This window comes from Homo sapiens, chromosome 5, assembly GCF_000001405.40.
Source record: "Homo sapiens chromosome 5, GRCh38.p14 Primary Assembly".
Lineage (NCBI taxonomy): Eukaryota > Metazoa > Chordata > Mammalia > Primates > Hominidae > Homo > Homo sapiens.
This window is the reverse complement of record NC_000005.10, coordinates 130,797,330-130,821,164: the sequence shown is the minus strand read 5'-3', so window position 1 is coordinate 130,821,164 and position 23,835 is coordinate 130,797,330. Positions and strand designations below refer to the sequence as shown.

Below are 23,835 nucleotides of genomic sequence, written 5' to 3'. Positions count from 1 at the left end.
TGGTAGAATTCGGCTGTGAATCCATCTGGTCCTGGACTCTTTTTGGTTGCTAAGCTATTGATTATTGCCACAATTTCAGATCCTGTTATTGGTCTATTCAGATATTCAACTTCTTCCTCGTCTATTCTTGGGAGAGTGTGTATGTCGAGGAATTTATCCATTTCTTCTAGATTTTCTAGTTTATTTGCGTAGAGGTGTTTGTAGTCTTCTCTGATGGTAGTTTGTATTTCTGTGAGATCAGTGGTGATATCCCCTTTATCATTTTTTATTGTGTCTATTTGATTCTTCTCTCTTTTTTTCTTTATTAGTCTTGCTAGCGGTCTATCAATTTTGTTGATCCTTTCAAAAAACCAGCTCCTAGATTCATTAATTTTTTGAAGGGTTTTTTGTGTCTCTATTTCCTTCAGTTCTGCTCTGATTTTAGTTATTTCTTGCCTTCTGCTAGCTTTTGAATGTGTTTGCTCTTGCTTTTCTAGTTCTTTTAATTGTGATGTTAGGGTGTCAATTTTAGATCTTTCCTGTTTTCTCTTGTGGGAATTTGGTGCTCTAAATTTCCCTCTACACACTGCTTTGAATGCGTCCCAGAGATTCTGGTATGTTGTGTCTTTGTTCTCATTGGTTTCAAAGAACATCTTTATTTCTGCCTTCATTTCGTTATGTACCCAGTAGTCATTCAGGAGCAGGTTGTTCAGTTTCCATGTAGTTGAGTGGTTTTCAGTGAGATTCTTAATCCTGAGTTCTAGTTTGATTGCCCTGTGGTCTGAGAGACAGTTTGTTATAATTTCTGTTCTTTTACATTTGCTGAGGAGAGCTTTACTTCCAAGTATGTGGTCAGTTTTGGAATAGGTGTGGTGTGGTGCTGAAAAAAATGTATATTTTGTTGATTTGGGGTGGAAAGTTCTGTAGATGTCTATTAGGTCTGCTTGGTGCAGAGCTGAGTTCAATTCCTGGGTATCCTTGTTGACTTTCTGTCTCATTGATCTGTCTAATGTTGACAGTGGGGTGTTAAAGTCTCCCATTATTATTGTGTGGGAGTCTAAGTCTCTTTGTATGTCACTCAGGACTTGCTTTATGAATCTGGGTGCTCCTGTATTGGGTGCATGTATATTTATTATCCTTAGCTCTTTTTGTTGAATTGATCCCTTTACCATAATGTAATGGCCTTCTTTGTCTCTTTTGATCTTTGTTGGTTTAAAGTCTGTTTTATCAGAGACTAGGATTGCAACCCCTGCCATTTTTTGTTTTCCATTTTCTTGGTAGATATTCCTCCATCCTTTTATTTTGAGCCTATGTGTGTCTCTGCATGTGAGATGGGTTTCCTGAATACAGCACACTGATGGGTCTTGACTCTTTATCCAATTTGCCAGTCTGTGTCTTTTAATTGGAGCATTTAGTCCATTGACATTTAAAGTTAATATTGTTATGTGTGAATTTGATCCTGTCATTATGATGTTAGCTGGTTATTTTGCTCATTAGTTGATGCAGTTTCTTCCTAGTCTCGATGGTCTTTACATTTTGTCATGATTTTGCAGCGGCTGGTACTGGTTGTTTCTTTCCATGTTTAGTGCTTCCTTCAGGAGCTCTTTTAGGGCAGGCCTGGTGGTGACAAAAATCTCTCAGCATTTGCTTGTCTGTAAAGTATTTTATTTCTCCTTCACTTATGAAGCTTAGTTTGGCTGGATATGAAATTCTGGGTTGAAAATTCTTTTCTTTAAGAATGTTGAATATTGGCTCCCAGTCTCTTCTGGCTTGTAGAGTTTCTGCCGAGAAATCTGCTGTTAGTCTGATGGGCTTCCCTTTGTGGGTAACCCAACCTTTCTCTCTGGCTGCACTTAACATTTTTTCCTTCATTTCAACTTTGGTGAATCTGACAATTATGTGTCTTGGAGTTGCTCTTCTCGAGGAGTATCTTTGTGGTGTTCTCTGTATTTCCTGAATGTGAACGTTGGCCTGCCTTGCTAGATTGGGGAAGTTCTCCTGGATAATATCCTGCAGAGTGTTTTCCAACTTGGTTCCATTCTCCCTGTCACTTTCAGGTACACCAATCAAACGTAGATTTGGTCTTTTCACATAGTCCCATATTTCTTGGAGGCTTTGCTCGTTTCTTTTTATTCTTTTTTCTCTAAATGTCCCTTCTGGCTTCATTGCATTCATTTCATCTTCCATCGCTGATACCCTTTCTTCCAGTTGATCGCATCGGCTCCTGAGGCTTCTGCATTCTTCACGTAGTTCTCGAGCCTTGGTTTTTAGCTCCATCAGCTCCTTTAAGCACTTCTCTCTATTGGTTATTCTAGTTATACGTTCTTCTAAATTTTTTTCAAAGTTTTCAACTTCTTTGCCTTTGGTTTGAATGTCCTCCCGTAGCTCGGAGTAATTTGATCATCTGAAGCCTTCTACTCTCAGCTCGTCAAAGTGATTCTCCGTCCAGCTTTGTTTCGTTGCTGGTGAGGAACTGCGTTCCTTTGGAGGAGGAGAGGCACTCTGCTTTTTAGAGTTTCCAGTTTTTCTGCTCTGTTTTTTCCCCATCTTTGTGGTTTTATCTACTTTAGTCTTTGTTGGGTGAGGTAACGATGGGTTTTTGGTGTGGATGTCCTTTCTGTTTGTTAGTTTTCCTTCTAACAGACAGGACTCTCAGCTGCAGGTCTGTTGGAGCACCGGGCCGTGTGAGGTGCCAGTCTGCCCCTGCTGGGGGGTGCCTCCCAGTTAGGCTGCTCGGGGGTCAGGGGTCAGGGACCCACTTGAGGAGGCAGTCTGCCGGTTCTCAGATCTCCAGCTGCGTGCTGGGAGAACCACTGCTCTCTTCAAAGCTGTGAGACAGAGACATTTAAGTCTGTAGAGGTTACTGCTGTCTTTTTGTTTGTCTGTGACCTGCCCCCAGAGGTGGAGCCTACAGAGGCAGGCAGGCCTCCTTGAGCTGTGGTGGGCTCCACCCAGTTCGAGCTTCCTGCCTGCTTTGTTTACCTAAGCAAACCTGGGCAATGGCAGGCGCCCCTCCCCCAGCCTTGCTGCCGCCTTGCAGTTTGATCTCAGACTGCTGTGCTAGCAATCAGCGAGACTCCGTGGGCGTAGGACCCTCCGAGCCAGGTGCGGGATATAATCTCGTGGTGCGCCGTGTTTTAAGCCCGTCGGGAAAGCGCAGTATTTGGGTGGGAGTGACCCGATTTTCCAGGTGCCGTCTGTCACCCCTTTCTTTGACTCAGAAAGGGAACTCCCTGACCCCTTGTGCTTCCCAAGTGAGGCAATGCCTCGCCCTGCTTCGGCTCGCGCGCGGTGCACGCACCCACTGACGTGTGTCCACTGTCTGGCACTCCCTAGTGAGATGAACCCGGTACCTCAGATGGAATTGCAGAAATCACCCGTCTTCTGCTTTGCTCCCGCTGGGAGCTGTAGACCGGAGCTGTTCCTATTCAGCCATCTTGGCTCCTCCTGACTTTGTTTTTTTATAATCTTGCTTACATGTTTTCATGACTCCTGGCATGGGGAGTAGCTACAGAGAAATCTAAGGTAACCTGACTTCTTCCTCTCTATGTGGCTTCCTTTTTCTTGGGGGTGGCCATACTTTTTTCTTCAACACAGCTTTTTCTTCATTTAAGTTTACCCAGTTATATCTTGGTGCCTATCATTTAAAAAGTATTTTTTTTTCCTGTCCGGGCAAGGTGGCTTATGCCTGTAATCCCAGCATTTTGGGAGGCCGAGGAGGTTGGATCGCCTGAAGTCAGGAGTTCGAGACCAGCCTTGCTAACATGTCAAAACTCCGTCTCTACTAAAAAATGCAAAAATTAGCCTGACATGGTAGCAGGTGCCTGTAATCCCAGCTACTGAGGAGGCTGAGGCAGGAGGATCACTTGAATCAGGGACACGGAGGTTGCAGTGAGTGGAGATCACGCCACTGCACTCCAGCCTGGGTGACAGAATGAGACTCTGTCTCAATAAAATAAAATAAAATAAAATAAAATATTTCTGAGACACTTGGGAAATAGAGTGTTCTTTAGATATTCAGATTAAATTTTTTCTGTATTTTGAAATAAAAACTTTTTGGTGTCTTTGCATGGTATGTTCAGTTCCATTCATTATAAATTCTGCTTTCATGAGTATTAATTATACGTATGATGGATCTCTGTGTGTGGCATTTGATCTACCATCTTTCCTATAACTATTCCTATATGTTTATTTATATTTATAATTTTTCTAGGCTGTCAAAATGTACTTAAATGTGATTTAAGTCACTCTATTTTTAGTTTGTTTTGTGGTGAGGACACTTAAGCTCTACTCTCTTAACCAAATTTGAAGTATACAATCCAGTATTGTTAACTATAGTCACATTGCTATACATATTTCTAGTTGTGTTTAATATATATTTTTTCTTTGTGTTTTTTTCCTTTTATTTCTGCACTTAACTAGCTCATCTTTCCTCTTCTGCTGTCTTATTGACTCTTCCTTGAGCTATTTGTCTCTTTTGTGAGCTCTTCTTTTCAGTGCAAATAATATTATCTGAAATTCATTTGAGACCATGAAGAATTATTTGTTTGAACTGCTAGTCTTTTGGGGAATTTTCTTGCAATGTATTTTCTTCATCTGCCTGATTTTAATTTTCTCTCCTGTTATGGTCTGAGTGTTTGTGTTCCCCTAATATTCATACGTTGGAGGCTAATGCAAGGTAGAGCCTTTAGGAGGTGATTAGATCATAGGGTAGAGTCCTCATGAATGAGATTGGTGCCCTTGTGAAAGAGGCCAGAGGAAGCTTGTTTGCCCCTTCTGCCATGTGAGGACAGAGCAAGAAGTTGCCAGCTATGAGAAATGAACTCTCATGAGACACTGAACCTGCTGGTACCTTGATTTTGGACTTCCCAGACTCCAGGCCTGTGAGCAATCTATTTCTGTTGTTTATAAATTACCAAAGGTATTTTGTTATAGCAGCCTAAATGAACTAAGACAGCTTCCTACATTTGTGTGTGTCTATTCATATTTTAAATTTTTTTGTTCTGCTTTTAACGGGTCTAATTATTTGAAGGATATAGTTGGATAACTGGGCAGAGATATATGTGATGTGCGTTGGGACGCTGTAGGTTTGATTTATGTTTCTCATCTTAAAAACCCTTTTAAAAAGCTTGTTATTTCCTCTGCCTCAGGACTCTTGGGAGCTCAGCTTTCAATGTCTTAGCACTTTATGACATATTAAAGTCCTTTATGTCACAGCTCTGCTGCTGAGATCTGGTGGTCTCTCCTCAATTTTACCCATCCATGAATAGTCTAGGTTGTAGACCAGAGAAATCACATATCATCATGATTATCCATTCTCTTTCCTGTGGTTCTGTTTATAGTCCCTATTACTTTTCTGGCCCACCCATCCTCCTAGATCTTATTGCTGACTTAGGACAGAATTATTTTCTTTTAGACCAGTGTTTCTTTGTTCAAGACTTAAGCCTGTATGTGTCTTTTCTTAACGTCCCACCTTGTTTTGGTCTAGATTTTACAGTATTGCAAATATGCCCCAGTTTTATAATTTAATTGGTGATGAAGATTTTTCTCCTTGCATTCTTTTTGTTGTCTTTAGTGGGTTTCACAGGAATGAGAATACAATAAAAAGTCTTTTCTCCATCATTTTCAACTGAAAAGCCAAACAGCTTTAAGATTGAATTGACACAGTGAAAGCTCTCTCCTAATAATTTTCATTGATATGAAGTACAGAGATATTTAAGGGATAGAATCAACAGAACTTGCTGATTTGTGGGAAATAGGGGCCAAGGGAAGGGGAGCAATTAAGGGCAGTCATTACATTTTCTTGGCTTGAGATATTTGGATGATGATGGTGCCAATTATTTGATGGAGAAAGTAGGAAGACTGGGTTGCCAAGGGAGGATATATTAAGGGTTACATTTTGGATTTATTAAAATTGAGAAATATCTGAAATATTCAACTAGGGATTTCATATATTCTCTTGGATATGAGTCTGGAATTGCCATGGGAGGATATATTAAGGGTTACATTTTGGATTTATTAAAATTGAGAAATATCTGAAATATTCAACTAGGGACTTCACATATACTCTTGGATATGAGTCTGGAGCTCTGAGCAGAGCTCTGGGCTTAATATGAATTTGGGATGTGTTAGCTTAAGTAATGTAGGATAATTTCAGCCTTGGGGATGGGTAAAGGAACCTTGGATGTAGGTTGTACAGATAAAAAAGAGTAGAATGTAGCTCTGAGATTCCCTTACCCTTAGAGGTCAGTTATTAGAGAAAGTGCAAAGGAAGCTGAGGTAGAAGAAAAACAAAAACACAATATCTGTGAAGGGAAGAGGTGATACTATTTCAAGACAGAGGGAATAGTCGATCATATTAAATGATTCTGAAGGGTGGAGTAGATGAGTGAAGGAAGTGCCCACTGAATTTGGCAACACGAAACTCAGCAGTGACCTTGACAACGGCAGCATCAGTGCATTAGTGGGGTGAGACACCAGATTGCACTGGCTCAAATTAGTAAAGTGGAAGTGAGGAAGCAAAAGGAAAGCAGGTGACATTTAAAAAATATTTTATTTTAAATCAACAATTTATAGTTGTGTATATTTATGGAGTACAAAGTGATGTTATGATTTAAGAATAAAATGTGAAATATTAATAATTACATTAAGCTAATTAATATATCCATGACTTCAAATACTTATTTTTTGTGAGGAAAACATTTTAAATTTACTCTCAGTAATTTTAAAATGTGCAATACACTATTATTAGCCATGTTAACCATTTGTGCAAAAGAATTAAAAAAATACCTTATTACTCCTGTCTGATTTTGTACGCTTTGGCCATGATCTTCCCATTTCCCCCACCCCAGCTTCTATTACCACAACTCTCTGCTTCTGAGTTCAATTGTTTTAGATGTCACATGTCAGTAAAAACATTAGGTATTTGTCTTTCCGTTCCTGGCTTATTTCATTTAGCAGCATGTTCTTCAGTTTAATCCATGTTGTCACAAATGACAGAATTTCCCTCTTTTTTTTTTAAGGCTGAATAGTATTCTATTGGAAAGCAGGTGACATTTTTGAGAGGTTTAGCTATGAATGGTGGCACAGAAATAGGGTAGTAAGTCAGCTTTAAGAACTGAACATCCCCATCACTTTTGAAACCCTTCCTGTGTCTCCTTTCCTCTTCTCTACATGCAGCAACTACATTTAATTCTTGTTAATCATTACTTGTCTTTTTAGCTTTACCATAAACTTAAAATGCAAAAAAAAAAAAAAAAAAAGAAATAGAGTAGTAAAAAGTAGCATCAGTGTTTTCTGTTTACTTTGGTTTAATATAAAAGGTACTAAAGCATGTTTGTGTCCTGATTGAAATGATACATAGAAGTGAAGAGATTTATCATACAGGAGAGAGATGGATGATTGACATTGCATGGGCGTTATAGAATGCATGAGGGAATTTAATTGAGAGCAGAAGTGGAGTGACTGGCCTTGGACAGATGTATGGTCATATCTTTTGTTGAAACAGAATAGAATATGGGAATATGGGTATTAATGCAGGAAGGTTTTTAAATTTGGGGGTAGAAAAATGATGAAATTTATTTCTGATGGCTTCTGTTTCCTCTGTGAGATTTGAGGGAAAGTAACCTGGTTGCCTCTTTTGTGAGGCTTGAGATAATAAAGGTATTAGAAACCCTTTCATTGTTGTTAAGGATTCAAAACATCTGCCCTGTTGTATTTGATATACTTAAATTATTATATTATATTCCAGGATTCTTTTTCTAGAAGATAACTAATGAAACTATTAATCAAGGCTAAATGCCTACTGACACATTACTGTTTGAGTTAATGCCTACTAGTATATCTGTTTTACAGATTAAAAAACCTGAACCCTACAGACATTAAATAATTTACTCAATATGACATAGGTGGGAAGTGAGGGAATTGGATTGCAATCTAACCTGGCTGATCTTAGAATCTGCTTTTAATCCCTACACCATATTGCCTGTGCTTGTTTTAACATTTAAATTACACACATACATACATACATAATGAAAGTATAATAACATGGACTTTTTTCTCATTACTGTCCTTGTTTTTGTTTCAAAAGTTCCTGTACCCCACCCACCATTTTTTTTAAAGATTCTTGGTAAAATAAACACCTCATTTCTACATTACTGAAGTCAAGAGGAGTGGAAATAAAACTATACATTCTCACCTTAGCATTTTCTTTACATATCAAGAATTTTTATTTTAAATCTTTAACAATCAGTGATGAGAGAACTTGAAACTTGACAGCATTGTCTTCCTCCAAATCTAATGTTAACATTTGCTTTTATGAGCATGTTATTTTCTACATGACATTTTCCTTTAACATTTTTAATAAGACAGAAAAAGAATTCAGAGATTTGACAGAGTACCTATATAAAGCAGAGAAGAACAAAAATACGCTGTCTAGGCACTGAGTTAATGAAGAATTATATTTAAAAGAATCGTTAAAGATGTTGTAATAATGTAGGTGTATTTTTCCTCAGTGCAGTTTAGTTCTCTTATTTTTCTTTGTGTAGGAGTACTGTCTGCAATTTGGGTGCAAAAGTTTAACATTTCATTTATTAAAGAAAACTTAATTCTAACCGTATATTTGTACCCATTATTAGTGTTCAATAAATCAATAAAGTGACCATAGTTAACATTAAGCTATTGAACTTTTCAAAATAGCTAGAAGAGAATAATGCAAATGTTTCCAGCATAAAGAAGAAATAAATTTTTAAGGTGATGGGTATCCCAATACCCTGATTTGATCTTTTCACATTATATGAGTGTATCAAATTATTACATGTACCCCCAAAATATGTACATTTATTATGTATCAATAAAAAGTAAATAAAAAATAATTATAAGAGTGGAAAGCAGATCCTTAGCTAGAGAGGAGAAATGTAATAAAATGGAAGAAAAGATTGATATGGAGGGATACAAAAGAAAACATTAACGTGGGAGGGATACAACATTTTCTGCGGTTCCTGAATTTTCTAACATATTGATCATTTATTACAAAAGTCTGTGAAAGAACTATCCTATTTCATTGAGAAGAAAGTGAAATATCAAAAATATGTATAATTTGTTTTGGGATAAACAGTAATTCAATAATGTATAGTATCTAAAATTCATGTCTCTTTTTCTCTGACATTCTTCTTGCTTACCTCGATTCAGGAAGTGTTGGCTGTGTAGAGTTACTGTTGAATAAAATTAATGCTTAAAATTCATAGCTATATTTGGAAAAAATTTAAAGATAATAATTAAAATGCAAATGCAACTGGAAGAATTTAACTATGTAATTAAGTTCATTTTGAGACTTCAATGATACCCTGACACATTATCTGACCTTAGGATCAGCTTTTGTTGAAGAGAGGAGAAAGTGAATATCCACACACAATTGGAGGAAAGGACACAAGATGGAATGTTTGGCTAGAGGCCGGAATGACAACTTTGCTTACTTGATTTTTCTTCTTTACAGAATGGCCCTGTCTGAGAGATATGTTACCCTAAACACCAAGACTCAATATATATGACTTAAGAAAAAAAAGATCCTTATGCACTATCTGAAGGTGATGCTTCCTGACTTTTGCAACAGGTAATTATTTTTCTTTCAATGGAGGGAACCACACTTTGATCACATAATTTCATTTTATAATATGGATAGTTTTAGGATAAACTAATTAAAGCTTATATTACTTATATTTTCAAAAAGCCCTCATGTAGTGCATTATGTGATTAATTAGCTCTTGTAATTTGGTAAAATGAGAGTTGTATTGGCTCTCCAATAAGAATGAAAAAAGAGAGAGGGATTATCATAGCATATCTAGAACAATATACAAATCTTTATTTTATTGCTTTTGGCCTCCTTGAGGTGTGAAGCGTGGCAGACATGTTGATGCTTTCCTTTAAGTTCATGACCATGGAAACTCCTTCTTCAAAGAAATGTTGAAAAATACTTCATTTATACCTTCTAAAGAAGGGATGTCAGAAAAGTTGGTGGACTAAATTTTTAGCTACTTCATTCCTATCCTTTACCAATATTCTTGATCCTACAACTTGCTGCTTGAATTTGGATGCCTCTTTTGAGAGTTAACGTTTTATGCAAGGTCCTAATTAACAGAAAGAAGGAGTTCCTTCTCATTGGAAGTGAAGTAATTTTCCTGAATCAATAATATATATTTCAACTGATGGTCATTTAGATTGTGAAAGTTGATAACCCAGAAACTAGGAAATGCTTCAAAAATGTGACATAGCCTAAGAGAATTACAAATATTATCTAGTAACTTTTGCATATTCTAGAAGTATGGTTTGACTCCTGCATCTTGCAGACAAATACTAGTATTAGAAAAAAAGGATTTTTTTCTTTTTGCCTCATGCTCTTTAATATTACAAAATTATTTCAATGTAAACATTTCAGCTATTTTCTCATAGCAGTCCAGTGAGATAAACATAAATTGGCATTATCACAGATCAAATTCTTTTAAATTCACTGCTTTGAGGTAAATCACCTGAAGGAGCTGGTAAGAATTAGATGGCAGCTCCAGAGCATCACATGTTTGATATACTCCCCATGGCCTCAGTTCATATACTTTCTCATCTGTGATTTATTGAGGAATGAGTTGTCAGTAAGCTGAAGAGCAAAGTAGCAGCACTGGAAATGAAAGGGCCAAGGAAAAAATGATACATTTTAGAAGGTGAGCCTTGGGAGGAAATGGGTTGATTAAATTCATCTTCTATCCCAGGACCCTGCCTCTGCTTCTTTGGTAATTAAAATTATATGGAGAGAGAGAGAGAGAGAGAGAGAGAGAGTTCAGACTAACATCTGTGATTTTAAGTATTAATTTAAAACAGCTGTAAAAAATATTCAAATATTCACTTTAGGTAATATGTTGGCTTTTTCCAGAAAGAATGCTGTCTTCCTGTGCCTGCGGAGATGATAATCAAGCTGGCACACTGACAATCAATGTAAATTCATTAAACAAAACAGGAAGTAAACAGGTATCTTTAAGTTTGTATCTCCCATTCATAAGTACTTTCAATCATACCTGGTTATGAAATAGTTTTGATGTTGCAAATCAATAAAACAAAAAACAAATAAATGAAACCCAAAGGAAAAAAAAAGAATGGAAAAATCCCGAAAGAAATAAACAGATTTTCCACCAGAGTATTTTGTTCTCTGAAATTATTCTGACTGCCTCTTAGCCGCCATGTTTTATACATATTCATTTGCTGCATTTATCCTGATTACCAAAATAAACATGTATAGTGTAGGAAAAAAGGAAGAAATACACAAAAGCACAAGGAAAAATTAAAAACAATTCATGCTCTTTTCACTCAGATATGATCAGCTTTTGATATTTTACAGAGTATTCTTTTATTTTTTTTCCTCTGCTTATTTTTTTCCAAATCTCAGTGTAATGCAAATACCTTTGTGTTTTCATTTTCATGACTACATACACAGAAACTCACCTAAAATAAAAAATATAGTTTGATTTTTTCATTTTACATAGAATGATATTATGTGTATATTTCTGTGACACTGGTATATCATATTATTTCAAATAACTTATTCTTTTTACAGTCTGTAGTGACCGTTAGAAGCCTACTTAATATCCAGTAATCTCTTCTTTCTAAGAGAATCCCAGTTTTATTGAAAGCAGCAATGTGCCCAGATGAAACAAACAAAATCAACAGGTTTATGTGTCCTTTGCATACATAGCCATTTTGTTGACAGCTGATGTGATACCTTCATTCTTGTCTTCTTTGGTTTAAGAGAATTTAAACAAGAGACACACAGCAAAGACACAACACACAAAGCAAAGACACACAGCAAAGGAGATACAGCATAGAGTAATTTATTGCAAAATAAAAATAATATTTGGAAGTTAGGTGCAGAATAGACACTACACCCTGAGAGAAGAGAGAGGATTCAGGGTGTGCTGTTCATAAGGATGAGACAGCAAAGACTGGCACCTGGGTGACTCCTTTTATGGCAGTCTTACATGATTATTCATAAGGAAGTGGAAAGAAGTGTTACTAGTAAGCATATTCTGGGTGGTCTTCTTGTTGCACACGTGCAGTAGCTGTTACATGTTTGTTCATATGTTTCACGTCTCATTAGCATCTTAAATATCCATCCAGGGGTGTGTTTTTTACTATTAAAATGAGTAAAGGGTCAGTTTGAGGACAGGTAAAATCAAAGTGTGCATGTTCTCTACAGGGGAAATCTACTGAAGATAGCTTTGCTTGAATACTCAGTTACAATGCACATGTTGAGGCTTGTTGTGTTGACTGTATGGTCATGATGGTTGCTGCATCCCGAGAACATGGTCACTTCCTTGACTATCTATACTGCCTCAATTTGACGTAATTCTAGCCATTTGTTTAAGCCACTGCTTACTTAAAATTGTTACAATGGAATGCAACTATTGTTATGTATGTAATAGTTAATAAATATGGATGCGCCATATTTTAATGTTATATGTAATAGATAATAAATATGGATGCACCATAAATTATTTAAGAATTCAATAAGTAAATAACATCTAGAATATTTTCAATGTTTCACTATTAAAACAATGATACAATAAGCATATTTGTATATATCTATGCCAGTCAACTTTTGTACATATTTTCCATTTCTTTGCCATTTTGCACTTCTTCTTTGATAATCATTTTGTTTAATCTTCCATCTCACTAATTCATATTTTATCTGGGTCTCTTCTTATTTCCAGGTTGTTATTTTGTGTGCATTTTAAAATTTCAGCATTTATTATGAACATATATGTATGTGTATGCATCTACATACATTTAATGTTTTAGATATATAAATAAACTGAATATATATTAAATATGTATTAAAATTATATGTTATATATACATATATATTATGTTTAATCTCTAAGCCCCAAAATAATTTATTTCAGAGAAGCATATTTCTTTTATAATGGATAAGAAAGTCTCTCTGAGGATGTTAATTATATTTATTTAAAGTTTTTTTCTGTTTTTCTCTACTAAGTCTAAGAGATTATGATACTAATTTTATTGTAATTTAGGTTTAGCAGTTCTCACCCCTGCAACCCCCACTAGGCTTTTGAGTTTTCTTCTGAATATCTGGAAATTCTTGGGAAATTTTAGATTGCAATTTGATAGGCAGAGAGTATTTGTTTGGTTTATATGGGGATCTCTAAAGGCTTTGCAGTGAATGTAGGTTCTGACTACTGTAGATTCATCATGGCTACAGATATATAGTACAAGTACCTGGGGAAATCATCCCTTGTGGGTTGCATGTCTTCAGGATATTGGCTCCTTGAAGCTTCTTTGCAGGGTGGACCTGAAAGAGCAACAAAGTATGTCAGGTACAGTCAGGCATTGATCTCTTCATTTATTTCTGGATTCAATTTTTATGCTTTGCCTGGTGCAGTGGCTCATGACTCTAATCTAAGCACTTTAGGAGGCTGAGGAAGGAGGATTACTTGAGCCCAGGAGTTTGAGATCAGCTTGAGCAACACGGTGAGACTCCATCTCTACCAAAAAAAAAAAAATTAATTAATTAAAAAATTAACCAGGCATGGTGGTGTGTGCCTAGTCCCAGCTACTTGGGAGGTTGAAGTGGGAGGACTGCTTGAGCCTAGGAGGTCAAGGCTGCAATGAGCCATGTTCATGACACTGCACTCCAGCCTGGGTGACAGTGTGAGACTCTGTCTCAAAAAGAAAAAAGTTATATGTATTTTGCGTTTACATTTAGAAATGAACTTGGCCATAGGATTTCCTTTCTTATAATTTCCTTTATGGTGGCCCTGTAAAATAAGTTGGGAGTTTTTTTGTATTTTTCTATTATCTCAAAAATTGTTTTAAAAACTGGCATTATTTGTACCTTAAACATTTTTTAGAATTGAGTGGTAGAGACATCTGATGTTGGTTATATATTAGTTCATTCTTACACTGCTATGAAGAAATACCTAAGACTAGGTAATTTTTAGAGAAAAGAGGTTTAATTGACTCACAGTTTTTCATGACTGGGGGGCCTTAGGAAACGTACAATCATGGTGGAATGTGCCTGTACACAGGGCAGCAGAAGAGAGAATGAGAGCCAACAGGGGAAATGCCAGACACTTATAAAACCATCAGATCTCATGAGGCTTACTCATTATCATGAGAACAGCAGGAGGGAAACTGCCCCCAAGGTCCAGTTACCTCAACCTGGTCCTGCCCTTGACACATGGGAATCATTACAATTCAAGGTGAGATTTGGGTGGGGACACAGAACCAAACCATGTCATTCCATCCCTGGCCCCTCCCAAATCTCATGTCCTCACATTTCAAAACACAATCATGCCCTTCCAACAGTCCCCAAAGTCTTAACTCATTTCAGCATTAACCAAAAAGTCCAAGTCCAAAGTCTCATCTGAGAAAAGACAAGAACCTTTCATGTATGAGCCTGTAAAATCAAAAGCAAGTTAGTTACTTCCTAGATACAATGGGTGTACAGGCATTGGGTAAATATGACCATTCCAAATGGGAGAAAGTAGCCCAAACAAAGGGGCTACAAGCCCCCTGCAAGTCTGAAATCCAACAGGGCAGTCAGTAAAACTTAAAGTTCCAAAATGATCTCTTTTGATTCCATGTCTTACATCCCGGTCACACTGATGCAAGAGGTAGGCTCCCACAACCTTGGGCAGCTCTGTCCCTGTGGCTTTGTAGGGTACAGCCCCACTCCTGGCTGTTTTCACAGGCTGGCATTGAGTGCCTGTGGCTTTTCCAGTTGCAAGGTGCAAGCTGTTGATGGATGTACCATTCTGGGGTCTGGAGGATGGTGACCCTCTTTTCACAGACCCTCTAGTGAGTGGTCTGTGAGTGGTCTAGTGAGAGTCCCCAGTGGGGACTCTTGTGGGGGCTCCAACCCCACATTTCCCTTCTGCACTGCTGTAGCAGAGGTTCTCCATGAGGGTTCCACCCCTGCAGCAAACATCTGCCTGGACATCCAGGAATTTCCATACATCCTCTGAAATCTAGGCAGAGGTTCCCAAACCTCAATTCTCGACTTCTGTGCACCCACAGAAGACCACATGAAAGCTGCCAAGGCTTGGGGCTTTCGCTCTCTGAAGCAATGGCCCAAGCTGTACCTTGGCCCCTTTTAGCCATGGCTGGAGTTGAAGCACATGGAACACAGGGCACTGTGTCCCGAGGCTGCATAGAGCAGTGGGGCCCTGGGTCTGGCCCACAAAACCATTTTCCCTCCTGGGCCTCCTGGCTTGTGATGGGAGGGGCTGCTGTGAAGGTCTCTGACATGCCCTGGAGACATTTTCCTTACTGTCTTGCTGATTAATATTTCACTCCTTGTTAGTTATACAAATTTCTGCAGCCAGCTGGAATTTCTCCCCAGAAAATGGGCTTTTCTTTCATATTGCATCATCAGGCTGCAAATTTTTCAAACGTTTATGCTTTGCTTCCTTTTGAATGCTCTGTGCTTTGTCACTAAGAAATTTCTTCTGCCAGATTACCCTATATCTTCTTTCTTGAGTTCAAAGTTCCACAGTTCTCTATGGCAGGGTCAAAATGCCACCAGTCTCTTTGCTAAAGCATAGCAAGAGAGACCTTTGCTCCAATTCCCAACAAGTTCCTCATCTCCATCTGAGACCACCTCAGCCTGGACTTCATTGTCCCTATCACTGAGAATTTAATCAATTAAATCAATACTGGGCAAAGCGTGTCTATGGTAGTAATGGAAGCAGGTAAGGCTACTATGTACCTAATAGTCAGATGTTATCTTTATGATAATGGTGAACTTTTGAAAGTTATTTGAAAATGTCCTTTCTAAAGAAATTTCCATGAATCTAAAAATAGTAAGGCTAAGAAATGCTTTTGTTTACATATACAAGAGCAGAATTAGATGTGATCATAATAAGTAAATGTGGTGTTAAAATGGCAGTCTTGCTCCTTGAGAGGAAAAGGCATTGGAACAGCCATTTTTAATGTGTCTTTTACTTAAATGTTGCCAAAAATTCTTCCATCCAAGTACATGTCCTTTTGCAAATGATTAAGCAATTAATTACTCTTCTCTACCATATCTGCTAAGTTAAATGTCACATTGATTGAGAGATTTTGAATTGTTTTATGCAGCTTTCTCAATCAGATCATATGTGGTTTTTATAAAATGGTGTATTCTTTTTGACATTGTACTTACCTTTTAGAAAAGTCATAAAAGCGGAAAAAACTGATGAGGTTTGAGGCTTTTGGTTCATTGTATCTTTGTGGAGTCTTGACCCATATTCTCATGGAGCTAGAGGATAATTAATGTTTCCTGTGATTTATGATATCCACCTCTAGGAAACTACAAGAAATTATTCTTCCCTGCTACCACTCTCTGTTCTCTGTCTGCAGATATGTTGAAAGAAATGTAGCTTTTGCTCATAAATTTCATCATTTGAGATTGTTATTTCAGTTGAGTATTATCAGAAAGCATTTCTAATAATTAACTCTTGTTGCATACCTGTAATCAGAAAGGGACCTTCTTCACTTCACTGCACTGCTGTGCTGCAGGATATTAAGCTGGCAAGCATGAAAATAGCTTTGTGAACAGCTGGGCTCATCACAGTGAAGCTTGAGATCAAAGCTGCCAAAAATGGAGGGCGCTTATATTCACCAACCCAAAAGAGATGGTTTTGGCCTTGAGAGAACATTGCTGAGCATAGGAACAACAGATTAATGGGAAAACTGTTGATAAAGCAGTAACTATCATCCTTGAACTATTTAATCCACTGAAACAATTGAATGACTTCTTAATCCTTAATCATTTTAAATGATTCAGACCTGTTGAATAGAGGTGAGATTATCTGCCTCTTATCAACTCTCATAAAATATTTTACACAAAGTGAACCAAATTGCATGCAACATAGGACTATGTGATTAAAATGCACTTAAGTGCTCACCCTTACAATGCCATCCAGATACATTCTAGGAGAGCAAAATGTTCTGAAAAATATTCAGGTGCCCTTGAAAGAATGAACAGTGAACATATTGTCATTAGGAAAATTTAGCCTCCTGTGAGATAACTTTCAAAATATTATCAATAATGGATACTGCCATCAGAACTATCTCCCTAAAATATATTAGACTATTTTTACTATCCTATGCTCTGTGTTCAGTTGCTTAAAAAATTAAATTCAAAAGTGTTTGGCATTCAAAGCAGTTTATGCTAGCACCTCAGGTTACCTCTTCAGCCAATTCTCCCACTACTCCACTGTGTGTATTCTGACCTAGTATTCTGTCATATTTTCTATTTCCTAATAATGTTAGATAATTCCAGATTTCCTTATATGGCTATACTGATCTCTCAACTTGCAATGCTTTCTCTATATTTTTTTACAGTTAAAAAAATATTGAAGGCATTGCTCAAATGCAACATTCTCTTTTAAACTTTCCTGGATTCTCACAATTAGAATATATATATATTTTTTGTTCCAGGCTCTTATAATGCTTGTATTTCCATTTTTAATGCTTGTATTTCCATTTTGACTTGCATTGTGGGTAGTTTTTACTGTTTCTCCCAAATATTTGAGTCTCTGTGTGTAGGGCCTATGAGTAATTCAACTTGTGTTACCCAGAGCTTAGCAATTAATCAGAATTTATTTATTGGTCATTGATATGGTTTAGCTGTGTCCCCAACCAAATCTCATCTTGAATTCTAACTCCCACAATTCCCACATGTCATGGGAGGAACCCAGTGGGAAGTGATTGAATTATGGGGGCAGATTTTCCTGCGCTGTTCTCATGACAGTGAATGAGTCTCATGAGATCTGATGGTTTTAAAAATGGGAGTTTCTATGCACAAGCTCTTTTTGCCTTGCTGCCATCCATCCAAAATGTGACTTGCTCCTCCTTGCCTTCTGCCTTGATTGTGAGGCTTCTCCAGTCATGTGTAGGTATGAGTTCTCCATTAAGCCTAATTCCTTTGTAAATTGCCTAGTCTCAGGTATGTCTTTATCAGCAGCATGAGAACAGACTAATACGGTCATTCTTTGCAAGATGCTACTTGCTTTGGATACAAATATGAAAAGACATGGTCCCTTGCGTGTGTTATGTGCTTATGAAATACATGTTGAGTTGACTGATTAATGAGAGAAAGGTCTGAGTTCTCCACCTCTGATAATGAGTTGCCACTGTTATAGTTCTAGAAAATCTGATAAACAGAGTGAAGATATTTTAAAATACTGACAGTTCTTGTGAAGAAAATCAGTGAGGTTGAGATATGTCAAGATAGAACATTAACTTCCTAAGTTTGAGCTTTGCTATAGCTGCTTTGTGTCATGATTTAACAAGGAGAATCATCTTCTTATTTTGTCTGAGTCTTAAAGGACACAGCTTTGAAGCCTTTTCTATGGATGGTTGGATACTATCAGTTTCACATGTAATATGTAGGCACATTTATAGAGCTTTGAATTTGTGGAGTCTTTTAAAAAACTGATTGTGATCAATATTCACATTCTTCCAAAAGCTCAAGAGCCTCCATTGAAAAGCCCCCTGATATATAAAAGATATAAATTTGAGTACTAATTATAGCTGAGCAGTTAGTTTGGGAATATGGTATAGAAAGCCTTGATTCTCTAACTAAAAATTTTGAATTTTTAATTAGCAGTAACAAAACACTGAAAGTTCCAAGTAGTTGAATGACTTAATGTCCATTGTGTACGATGCATGTTAAATGTGCTGAAGTAAGGTGGATATGTTGGCTGCACAATAAGTGATTGAAGATTAGAGACCAGATATAAATATAGCTTCATTATTGGTGATAGATGATGAGAACCATGGTGAAAGTTACTTTGGAAATGAAAAAGACAGCGCAGTGTTGTCAGAACCAATTTGGAAGATTTATCAATAGAATCTAGTGATTGATGAGAGACATGGGGAGGAGGGAAAAATGTAATAAAGATGATAGGCCTGCATGCCTGGGAGCACCTTTTATGAGGGAACATAGGAGGAGGAAGATAATTGGAGAATGAGAGATTGCGCAACCAGCATGACCTAGGTTGTTTCAATAATGTTAACTTCCAAATCTCAGTGGATTAAAATGTAGTAACAAATATTTATTTCATGTTGTTACTGTGTGTTTATTTTGTCCTGGCTGGCATTTCTGCTCCACATTTTCCTCACTCTGGGGCCCAGGCTGACAGATCAACCACTGTCTGGAAAGTTACTAGTTGCTTTGGCCCAGGTAGAGGGAGAATTTGAGGGTCTAGCATCAGAAATTACTACAGCCTGGAAGTGAGAGTGGCAAATTTAAACCATTGTCAGGTGACACTATCTTCTTCTAATGCCAGTCAAATGGGATATTTCCTGTTCATTGCTTATGGCCTCACCCCTGATTTATTTCCCCCAGCCTTATTGAGGCATAATTTACAAATAACAACTGTATATTTTTAAGGTGCAAAACATGGTGTTTTGATGTGTGTACACATTGGGAAATGATTACCACAATCAAGCTAATGAACATATTTATCATCTTACGTAATTAACTTTTTTTTGTAGTGAGAACACTTAAGATCTACTCTCTTAGCTCATTTTAAGTATACAATGCAGTATTATTAACTGTGGTCACCATGCTATACATTAGATCTCCAGATGTATTCATTTTGTATAATGGAAATTTTATCTCCTTTGACCAACGTCTCCCCAGTTCCCCCAACCCACCAGCCTCTGGCAACCACCATTCTACTCTCTGCTTTTAGACTCCATATATAAGGGAGATCACTCAGTATCTATCACATGTATATATCCAGTTTTCCAGCACCATTTACTGAAGACACTGTCCTTTCCCCATTGTATGTTCTTGGCACTTTTATCAAAGATCAGCTGACCATATATGTATAGATTTACTTCAGTTCTCTGTATTCTGTTTTATTGGTGTATATGTCTATTTTTATGCCAGTATCCTACTGTTTTGTTTACTATAGCTTTGTAATATATTTAAAAATCAGGAAGTGTGATACCTGTAGCTTTGTTCTTTTTGCTCACGATTGCTTTTGCTGTTGGGGACTTTTGTGGTCTCATATAAATGTTAGGATTTTTTTCTATTGATAGGGATTACATTGAATCAGTAGAGCACATTGGGTAGTAGGGCCATTTTAACAACATTTATTCTTCCAACCTGTGAACCCAGGAAATCTTTCCATTTATTTGTGTCTTCTTAAATTTGTTTCATCAATGTTTTGTAGTTTTCAGTGAACTGAAAGTGGACCCCTGGTTCAGTTTACTCCTAATATTTTATTCTTTTTGAAGCTATTATAAATGGAATAGTCATCTTAATTACTTTTTCAGATAGTTCATTGTTAGTATATATCAATGCAAATTGTTCAAGAGTGTGATTTAAAATTTTTATATTTTTGTGAATTTTAATTTTCCCTCCCATTATTGATTTCATACTATTGGGGTCCAAAAGGATACTTGATATGATTTCAGTCTTCTTAAGTTTGTTAAGACTTGTTTTGTGGCTTATGACTATGTAAATATGATCTATCTTGGAAAATTTTCCATGTGCACTTGAGAAGAATGTTTATTCCGTTGCTGTTTGGTGAAATGTTCTATATGTCTATTAGATTCACTTGGTTTATAGGTTATTCAAATCCAATGTTTCCATATTAATTTTCTGTCTGGATGATCTATCCATTGTTGAAAGTGGATATTGGAGTCTTCTGCTATCAGTATATTGCTACCAATTTCTCCCTTCAGTTCTGTTAATATTTGCTTTATATAGTCCAATGTTGATTTGCATATTTATATTTCCAATGCTTTATATATTTATATGCTCCAATGTTATATATACAATATAATATTTACTTTATATAGTTATATGTTCCAATGTATATATTTATATGTTTCAGTGTTAATATGTGCTTCATATATTTATATGTTCCAATTTATATCCAATGCATGTGGTCCAACATTAAAATATATATATAATCATTATATATATACACATTTATATATATATAATCATTATATATACATTTATATATATAATCATTATATATATACATTTATATATATAATCATTATATATATACATTTATATATATAATCATTATATATATATACATTTATATATATATATATATATATATATATATAATCATTTTCCATCTCTTTACTCTCAGCCTATGTGTGTCCTTAAAGCTAAAGTGAATCTAGTGTAGGCAGCATATATTTGGTCTTTTTTTTTTTTTAAATCCATTTAGCCACTATGCCTTTCGAGTGAAAAATTTAATCCATTTACATTTAAAGTAATTATTGGTAGGTAAGAACTTCTTATTGCAATTTTGTTTATTTTTTTTCTCAATGGTTACTACTTCTTCTGTTCCTCTTCTTCCATTTTTGTTGTCTTCCTTTGTCATTTGATGAGTTTTGTAGTGGTATGCTTTGATTTCGTTTTCTTTATCCTTTGTGTATCTACTAGAAGTTTTGTCTTTGTGGTTACCATGAAGCTTACACAATCTTATACCAGTCTATTTCATGCTGATAACAACTTAACTGTGTACAAAAACTCTACACTTTTACTTCCCCTCTTCCCACATTTTATGTCATTGCTGTCACAATTTACATCGTTTTATATTGTGCATCCATTAACAAATTATTGTAGCTATGATTATTGTTAATACTTTGTCTTTCAACTTTTACACTAGATTTTAAAAATCTGTTGTGCATCACCATTACTGTATTAGAGTACTCTGAATTTGACTATGTATTTACATTTATTAGTGGGTTATATACTTTTATATGTTTTCATGTTATTAATTAGTGTTCTTTCATTTCAACTTGAAGAGAACCCCCTTTTGCATTCCTTGCAAGGCAGGTCTTAGTGGTGATGAACTCTTTCAGCCTTTGTTTGTCTGTGAAAATCTCTGTCTCTCCTTCATTTCTCAAGGACAGCTTTGTCACTTATAATATGCTCAGTTGGCACTTTTTCCTTTCAGTACTTTGAATATATCATCCTACTCTCTCTTGAAATGCCAAGGTTCTGCTGAGAAACCCACTAATAACCTTATGGAGGTTCTCTTGTATTAGTCACTTTTCTCTTGTTTCAAAATGTTCTCTTTATATTTGAGTTTTGATAATTTGATTTCAAAAGATTCATATTTAAATTTGGGCATCTCAATTTATTGTATTATTACCAAAATATCTTTATGATGCCTTTTTATTTTACTGGAAAACAGCAATAAATACTATGTTGGACAAGACTGAAAAATAATTTGGCCTAAGAAATAGAATAGAGAATAAATTTTTAGTATTAATTCCTAAGTAGTTCTGGGATTAATTTAGTTAGTATATGGTTTTAGCGTATTTTAGTGTCTTCTGGGAGAAAACTTTATACTGCTGAAATTGTGGTCCGGGGATAAAAAACAAATGGTGAGAGCAGAAAATTTTGATAGACTGCTGATCTCTCTGGAGGGCGATGTCTCCATACCTGGTTATTCCTAAAATATTGGTTGAGCCTAAAAGGTAGAGATGAAAGAAAAGCTGAGAAGTGTTGGGGTAAATACTTATTCCATTCTTCTGATGTCTCTTGCCAGGTAGGACATCTTTCTCCTCTGTGCTCCTTCCTTTTCCTCATGAGAGAAGAATGGACTAACCTCATTGGTGAGTTTGGGACAAGAAACAGAGCATGCTTGGCATATTATTTCCCTTTTGTCTTTGTGATTCTTCTCTCTGTAGAGAGATCTGATGTGCTCTTGGTTATATGGGGAAAGGACTTCCATTGTCCAGTGCTGATAGTGACTGAAGGGTAAGTATCTAATTCTGGACAAGGGAGTTTTAGGAACATCTTTTTTTCTCCAAAGCCATCTATTCCAATCTAGTTTAATCTATAATAAATCTGATATTTTTAATCTCCTCTGCCTAACATTTTTGCTTTCAGTTAGCTTGTATCTGACAGGGAAGAGAGTATCACATAAGCTGCCTTCAAACCTCAGCAGTCTCTATGTTATTTTGAATAGGGATACAATTTGTAAACGTATAGGCTGGTCAATGCTTAGGTGAAATTGATTGGTCAATGTTTCATTTTTGGAACATTTTCAGATCCAGAAATATTTGCTATTTACAAATATTTCCAAAGGCATTCTAAATTATTTGGTTGAACAAATAAAATCTGATTCATAAACAAAGTTTAAAAACCAGAATACCATGCAGACTTTGGATAATGGGTTAGTGGAAGGTTTGTGGGGTAGATAAATGAATGTGATAATTAGCCAAGTATTTTGAGATGTGTTAAAGTGAGATGTATCTCAGACATGAGGATAGTCTTGGAGAAATCAGAAAACATGTTCAATCAGGAAACATGGTCAATGAAGAGTTTGGTGTGTGATTGTGCAGTGTTAGTAAGAGAAGGCATCAGTGATTGGAGAAAGAATTTGTATATGGCTATATAAGTGTGCATTTCTGTGTGTGTGTAGGGTGTGTGTGTGTATATGTTTATGGTTGTATGGATAAGCATGTGTGTGTGTGTGTGACTGAGTGTGGGTATGTATGGGTGTGGGTATTTGTGGTGTGTTTTTGGGTGCATGTGGTTGTTTGTATGTATGATTGTGTGTGGTTGGGTGAACGTGTATAGGTGTATGGGTGAGTGTGTGTTTGCCTGGTTGTGTGTGTCTGTGTGTATAGGTATGGGTGTGGCTGGTGAGGGACATGGGTGTGTCTAGGTCTGTGTGTATGTGTATGTGTATTGGTATGAAGGGTACGAAGTACACAGCAGAGGGCAGATGAAACCAAAATGCTTATATAGTGATAAAAGACATCAATTTCCTCAGTGAATTTCAAGATACATCTTGGGGAAATATCAAACAAGTGTCG

At 36.4% G+C, this 23,835-nt stretch overlaps 1 long non-coding RNA gene across 1 annotated transcript in view; it reads left to right on the top strand.

The window, feature by feature from the left end:
- The window catches only part of LOC107986449 (uncharacterized), a 72,898-nt gene extending 50,263 nt beyond the window's left edge, over positions 1-22,635 (top strand). Inside the window, exons 2-4 of the long non-coding RNA XR_001742881.1 lie at positions 9,473-9,589; positions 10,898-10,992; positions 22,560-22,635. This is a non-coding gene — a long non-coding RNA (uncharacterized LOC107986449). The remainder of the gene's footprint in view (positions 1-9,472; positions 9,590-10,897; positions 10,993-22,559) is intronic.
- Positions 22,636-23,835: the final 1,200 nt, after the last annotated feature.